The sequence below is a fragment of the Homo sapiens genome, chromosome 7 (genome assembly GCF_000001405.40).
Source record: "Homo sapiens chromosome 7, GRCh38.p14 Primary Assembly".
NCBI lineage: Eukaryota > Metazoa > Chordata > Mammalia > Primates > Hominidae > Homo > Homo sapiens.
In genome coordinates, this window is record NC_000007.14 from 36064111 (window position 1) to 36071643 (window position 7533).

The 7533-nt window shown below is 42.9% G+C and overlaps 1 long non-coding RNA gene across 1 annotated transcript, besides 1 other annotated feature; it reads left to right on the plus strand.

Moving 5' to 3' along the window:
- Positions 1119–2318: an enhancer, noted in NCBI's record as "BRD4-independent group 4 enhancer chr7:36104839-36106038 (GRCh37/hg19 assembly coordinates)". NCBI's record gives its function as "activates an origin of replication core promoter dependent on BRD2, P300/CBP, MED14 and CDK7 cofactors, and independent of BRD4, by STARR-seq in HCT116 cells {active_cell/tissue: HCT116}" and the evidence as "EXISTENCE:reporter gene assay evidence [ECO:0000049][PMID:35650434]".
- Positions 2003–2576, plus strand: LOC124901617 (uncharacterized). The gene is made up of 2 exons (XR_007060289.1): positions 2003–2093; positions 2306–2576. It is a non-coding gene; the product is annotated as an uncharacterized LOC124901617 (long non-coding RNA).
- The last annotated feature ends 4957 nt before the right edge of the window (positions 2577–7533 follow it).

Sequence of the window (7533 nt, forward strand, 5' to 3'; positions counted from 1 at the left end):
TGAAAACAACAGTAGGAAGGGATAGAAAATCAAGTCTACTACCCCAGCATGATGGGCTAATGGTGTCCTTCCAAATTCATATGACCTCAGCATGCGACTATTTGGAGGCAGTCTTTAAAGATGAAATAAGTTAAAATGAGGTCATTAGGGTGGGCCCTAGTCCATTAAGACAGCTGTTCTTGTTATGGTAAAGGGGTCCTGATCTAGACCCTAACAGAAGGTTCTTGGATCTTGCGTAAGAAAGAATTCTAAGTCCATTAAGTGAAAGCAAGTTTATGAAGAAAGTAAGGGAACAAAAGAATGACTACTCCATAGGCAGAGCAGCCCCGAGGGCCACTGGTCGACCATATTTATAGTTATTTCTTGATTATATACTAAAAGGATGGATTATTCATGAGATCTTTGGGAAAAGGGGTGGGTAATTCCCAGAACTGAGGGTTCCTCCCTTTTTAGACCATTTAGGGTAACTTCCTGACGTTGCCATGTCATCTGTAAACTGTGCTGGCACTGATGGAGTGTCTTTTTAGCATACTAATGCATCATAATTAGCGTACAATGAGCAGCGAGGATGGCAAGGGGTCACTTTCATTGCCATCTTGGTTTCAGTGGGTTTTGGCCAGCTTCTTTACCATGACCTGTTTTATCAGCAAGGTCTTCATGGCCTATATCTTGTGCTGACCTGCTGTCTCACCCTGAGACTTAGAATGCCTAATCTCCTGGGAACGTAGCCCAGTAGATCTCAGCCTTATTTTACCCAGCCCCCACGCAAGATGAAATTATTCTGGTTCAAACACTTCTGACATCCTGCCAAGAAGCAGACACATGCAGGGGGTGACCATGCAAGCTCACAGGGAAAAAACATCCATCTGCAACCCAGGATCCAAATTTCAAAAGAAAAAATTCTGCCCACACATTGATCTTTTAATCTCCATAACTAGCAGACAATTTGTAAAGCGCCCCCCTGAAGCACTTTGTTAACGCAGCTGAAACAGACTAAGGCCCCCAGATTCCCTGAGGTGGAAGTGGACTGGTCTGAGGTGGGTATGACTGGCCCTGATGGGGGGGAGGAACTTCTCAGGTCCATGCCTTTGGGGCAGCTGCTGAGCTAAGCTTGTGTCCAGAATTGGTTCCTTCCCGTGGGTTCTTGGTCTGGCTGACTTCAAGAATGAAGCCGTGAACACTTGCGGTCAGTGTTAAGGTTCTTAAAGATGGTGTGTCTGAGTTTGTTTCCTTACATGTTCAGATGTGTTTGGAGATTCTTCCTTCTGGTGGATGTGTGGTCTCACTGACTTCAGAAGTGAAGCTGCAGATCTTCGCCGTGAGTACTACAGCTCTCACAGATGGAGCATCCACAGTTGTTCTTCCTGGTGGGTTAGTGGTCTTGCTGGCTTCAGGGGAGAAGCCAGAGACCTTCTTGGTGAGTGTTACAGCTCATGAAGGCGGCACTTCCAGAGTTATTCCTTTCTCCTGGTGGGTTCATGGTCTCACTGGCTTCAAGAGTGAAGCTGCAGACTTTCCCGGTGAGTGTTACAGCTCATAAAAGTCCAGAGTTGTTCGTTCCTTCTGGTGGGTTCATGGTCTCACTGGCTTCAGGAGTGAAGCTGCGACCTTCCTGGAGAGTGTTACAGCTTCTAAAAGCAGTGCAGACCCAAAGAGTGACCAGCAACAAGATTTATTGCAAAGAGCAAAACAACAACACACTCACAAAGTCCAAACAGCTGTCCCAGGGCGTTCAGGTGGCCTGCTTTTATTCCCTTATTTGGCCCCACCCACATCCTGCTGATTGGTCCATTTTACAGAGAGCTGATTGGCCCATTTTACAGAGAGCTGATTGGCCCATTTTACAGAGTGCTGATTGGTCCGTTTTTACAGAGTGCTGATTGGTGCGTTTACAAACCTTTAGCTAGACACAGAGCACTGATTGGTGCATTTACAATCCTTTAGCTAGACAGAAAAGTTCTCCAAGTCCCCACCCCACCCAGAAACCCAGGCGACTTCACCTGTCAAGCTGAGCTGAGCTCTTGATTTTTCTCCCACTGGAAGGTCAACATTGTTCGGGATTCCTCATCTTGCCGTGGCTCTGAGTTGGCTAAGTATGACTGCAAAGCATGGCACTTTCACTTGGCAACTCCCTCCCCTCACTCACTATAGCAAACCATTCTTTAGTCCCTGTGCAGAAACTTTGTTTGTTTGTTTGTTTGGGGCTTTACTTTTTGGAAGCCACGGAGGCACACTGTACAAAGGTTTTTGTGGGAAGCAAATTGCCTTTCCTTTTATTTATTTATTTATTTTTCCTTTTTGGCAGATGCCAAGGTCATCTTTCTGTTTGTACTACAGATACGCTGTAATTGATTTTCTGAGCGAACCTCTGCATGTTCCTACGACATTTTGTGATCTTCCAAGTGAACAACCTGACAGTGCCAACATTTATACTGAAGTAAAAGAACTCCTGAAAATTCTCATATAAATGTCAGCAATATTGTGGAAGTTTGACCACTTTCATGAGTCCATACATTGGAAATCAAAGTAATAAGGAAATATCTTAACTCTATTAAAATCATTTTTTCTCCTTTGTATTTTTTTTTCAGTCTGCTAACAAACACAGCCTGACTAGTTATTCTAGCTCAATTTTGTCGTGTGTGTGTGTGTTTGGGTGCAGACATGTATTTGTGTGCTTCTAAACTTAATTCTTGTTACATTGGTTTTCCACCGGGCGTGGTGGCTCACGCCTGTAATCCCAACACTTTGGGAGCTTGAGGTGGGCAGATAACCTGAGGTCAGCAGTTCAAGACCAGCCTAGGCAAGAAGGCGAAATCCCATTTCTACTAAAAATACAAAAGTTAGTTGGGCGTGGTGGCATGCGACTATAATCCCAACAACTCAGGAGAATCACTTGAACCCGGGAGGCGGAGGTTGCAGTGAGCCGAGATCGCACCACTGCACTCCAGCTTGGGTCACAGAGCAAGACTCTGTCTCAAAAATAAAAACAACCCCTCCCATCAAAACATTGTTTTTCGAAAACAGTAGAGACGGAGTTATACTTCCAAATAGCTTGCACTCATTTTAAGCACTGGAAGTACTGTCCTGGGAATCTTGTCAGGACTGAAAATTCACCAGAAGAGAGAAAACAGATTTGATGTGTCCTCTTTCCAACCCAAGCTGCTTCCCATGCTGTGAGCATTATCAGAGAAGGAGACAGAGGAGGTAAGGAGGCCATATTAATGGCTTGGCTTTGCTTTGGGGCATCTATTGAAACTTGCTGCTATGGCCAGTTTTTGTTGCTCCTGTTGATTCTTTGCTTTTGTGTTTTGTTATTCTGGATTTGGGGGCTTTATTTTCTAATAAAGTAGTGTATCTGTATGTTTTCATGAATGGCCCTACTAGAGTCACTGTCTCTTGAGTTATCATGGTGTGGGACGCTTTCCCTCGCTGCAGATAGACTCATGCACACCTAGCATTACACAGGGCTCTGTCCTCAGAACAGCCAAGTGCCTGGAAGGCAATAGCTTTCTTGATTCTCTTTGCAAGTGCTATCTTGTGTTCCTTCATTTTTTTTTTTTTTGATAACTCTCCTAAGCCATTATAATAACTGGGACCCAGCGATTGTGTAAGGAAGACTGCCTTTATTTGCAGAAAACAGAGAATCCCAACAAGTGATATGACTGTCTCATTCACTGGTGTGAGATCTGTAATGACTATGAAGTAGCTAACAGCTAGAACTCACCATTATACGGCAAAGACCAGGCATACCATCTCTGGCAATGTTCTGTAAAAAATAATAATACATGTATCAGATCCTCATTTGCATAATAGTAACAAAATTCAGTTCCTTAAAAATCTAGAGTGTGTTTTCTACATACTTGCTTCCTTCATTTTCACAATGAATTATTTTGCACTGCTCATTTCACAGTTCCACGAAGTTCCTGCCAGTAGCTCATTTAAAGGACAAACTTGCTTTATATATCTCAAGGAATTCAGATGATGAAATCATTTGAACTAACCAAGAAGTGAAATGCTAATGTTCTAGAGGTGTACTTTCACCTCTTTGTTAAATACTGTACTATATTATGAAAATATAGTCAAGGAATTATTAAGTAACAGTATAGGTGACATGCTAAAATAAACTATCTGTAATAGGTATGACCTACATTTTTTAGTTTTGTGGAATACTGAGAATTAACAACATGAAAAAACTGCTTAATATAAGCACATTCATGCAAATCTGATGTGGCTTGAAAAGAAATTAATCCTTGAGACAAAATATGTGGTTCACTTATTCTACATATCTATACTATCCTCTAGGAAACTTTCACAGTATTGAGTTGCTGGTGTCATAAATCTGTGACAACACATAGCAAATCTTACATAACACACAGTTGCAAGTATTTCCTATTGCTGTAAATTTGGTTGATAATACTTTGCTTCATTTAGAGGTTAGAAGAATTGTTCATTTTTCAATTAAGTTTCATGGTTACATGGTTTAAACTGAAGTGACATAAAACAATTATTTTCATTTAATATATACTTTATCATAATTATAAATCAAATAGTCTTTGGAAAATGCTATATTTTTGTTTAATTAGCAATTAAATGGGAGATTCATAGATTTCCCTGAGAAAGTTGTTCTAATATTCAGGATAGAAGATCACTTTTCATACATCTGCCTGCCGCACAAGCACATGCCTTCCGCCTGACTGACCTTTGCCTTCTACGTTACTTACCCTTCCAGCCTGGTTTCTAGGCCTTTCTACAAGAGCGAAATGTGCCTCTTCTTCCCTTAACCCCAGCAGCCCATCTCTCATCCACTTGATGTCCTCTGAAACTGGAACCAAATGCTCCACTTTGCAAATCCCCACAATTGCCAACCTCACCTGACAAGGCACCCTCAGAGAGACTGATCCAAGAATCTGAAGTCAAGCATTTATTTGAAATCACTGAGTCAAATACAAGTAAATCCCCTTGCCCCAATAAAGAGGAGCAGTTATATGACAGAGGTACAGAACACCAAAGACCATACATTTATTTATCAAAAGAGTGGCAACACTGGGGGCCGGGGACGACGGCTTACACCTGTAATCCAAGCACTTTGGGAGGCTGAGGTGGGCAGATCACTTGAAGTCAGGCGTTCGAGACCAGCCTGGCCAACATGGTGAGACCCTGTCTCTATTAAAAATACAAGAAATAGCCATGCATGGTGGTGCGTGCCTATAATTCCAGCTACTTGTGAAGCCGAGGCATGAGAATAGCTCAAACCTGGGAGGTGAAGGTTGCAGTGCGCTGAGATCGTGCCATTACACTCCAGCCTGAGTAACACAGCGAGATTCCATCTAAAAAAAAAAAAAAAAAAAAAAAAGAGTGGCAACACTGAGTAAGCCTGAATTTGTTGTCCAAGAAGTCCAATTACAAGGGTTAGTTCCCCAGGAGACTCTCAGAAGTGGGCTAATCTGTCCAGCTACTGTTCCGGCTCTTCCATATTGGATGTCTGTGGCTTAAGACACCTCTGAAATGCCTAATCAGTGCAAAACAAAAACAAAAGAAAACAAAGACAACTGCCACTAACAGAAACCAATGCACAGGAGCAGGCTATCCCTGTGTATCATTTTTCATGATCTGTAATGTTGGGATGTCCTCATGTCTGAAATTCTGCAGTTACGGATTAAATCTTGTTTCCTGGTAAAAAGTTGCCATGCTGAAAAAGAAAAGGGATACATCGGATCATTTCCTTTTTCCCGGGCCTTGCCCTTGAGCTGAAGAATGCTATTTATTATTTTATACTCCTCCTGACATTGTCTTATTGTCTTGCTGCACACAATCTGTCCTCAAACTGAATCTCCAAATTTCCTGATTCTTTTGAGTAACTCTGGTACGAAGACTTGAAAGACAGCTCAGCTAAGAGAAAAATTCTCTAACCAAAAAGAAGAAGAAGGAGGAGGGGGAGTAAAGAAAGCAAAAGGAAAGACACTCAAGGCAATTAAAACTTTAATTTTTCATGACTCACGTTTCTATAAATGTAAATGACTAATAGACACCATGAAATATTAATCAAGTCAGTAATCCAGGATTATATATGATGCCAAATTGCTCCCTGTTGCCAGTGAAAAAGCTATCAGGCAGCAATTTCTGCAAAGAAACACAAGCTTCCAAATGCCCCGACAGAGGAGTGAGATCTCACTTGGTGCTTCATTTTTCATAAGGAACAGTCTTGGATTGGAAGGCTGTGCTGTTCTCAATCGCAGGACAAAAAGGAGAACGACACGGGAAGATGCGGAACAGACCTACACGGAAATCTAGCAGGGACTGTCATCTGATATTGCAGATGCTTTACCAGAGGGCCTGCTACTCACCAGGATTAAACTCTGGGAGCGTATGTGTTTACGCATCAGGGGATCATATTAGAGGGAAGGCCTTGCTGGGGACTAAACTTGTTTCATTAGTTTCTTTTCTTCAGCAAAATAGGTTACAGGCTATGTCACAGTAGAGCAAATGCTATGAGTAGTGGCCTCTGGAAAGGGTGTTTTGGGGGTTCCTGGAAGTCACGGCATATGGCCTCCCTTCGCAGGTGCAGCTGTGCAGGAAGAAGAGAGAGCTCACCTGGAAGATGGGAGCCAGTGACTCCGGTTCCCTGATCAGAGCTCCCAGGACCAGCTTGAGCCCTGAGAAGAGGCTGATCCCTGGAAGCTGACATTTTGGGAGCAGAGACTGGGGCCTCATGGTTGGCTTAGTGCTAAGGGTGCATGATTGTCTTCCCTAGAACTGCACCCAGGACAGTCTTCCCAGCCAGCAAAGGGTCATCTCATCAGGGGATGAACAACACTGTCATCCGGGAGCCATCCTTCAGCAGTTACATCATGTGCCAGGGGATGAGCACAGAACTGAACTGATCGACTCTAGTTCTCTCTCCTAGTGGCATGTGAAGGCTGAGCCAACCTACTACAGGTGGCCTAAGGGTCCCTGGACTTCCTAGACAATGAAGGATGGAGTGGGATGAGAGCCTCAACAGGGAAATACTGATTTTCTGATAATGGGGAATGTGGAATGAACAATTATTTTGTGGCAGAAACTGTTATCTGTGGACCCAGCAGCCTTTCTCTGCTAGAGCCCACCTCTCATGACAGAGACTTAAAATGCCAAGAACTTGCTCTCCCAGGCTGTCTTCATATGTAGTCCGGTTTTGGCCAATGAGACCCTGAGATAGTTTACTAGGAGCTTGAGGGAACATTTTTTTGTCTCTTGATAAAAATAGAGGGCTAAACAAAGAGAACTTGCGTCTTTCTTCCTGTCTTGAACATGGTTTGAGTGAATACATGACATTTGGAGCTGTGGCAGCAATATTGTGACCATGAGGAAAAGGCTGGGAGAATCACACGTAAGTCAACCCAGAGCCCTGATACTGCACAACCACCAACCAACACTGGAATCACCTACTTCAGGACTTCTCATTAGGTGAGAAAAATATCCACTCCCTTTAGAAGTTTCTTTTAGTTAGATATTACTATTAATTGCAGTTGAAAACATTTCCATTGGTTAGTAATG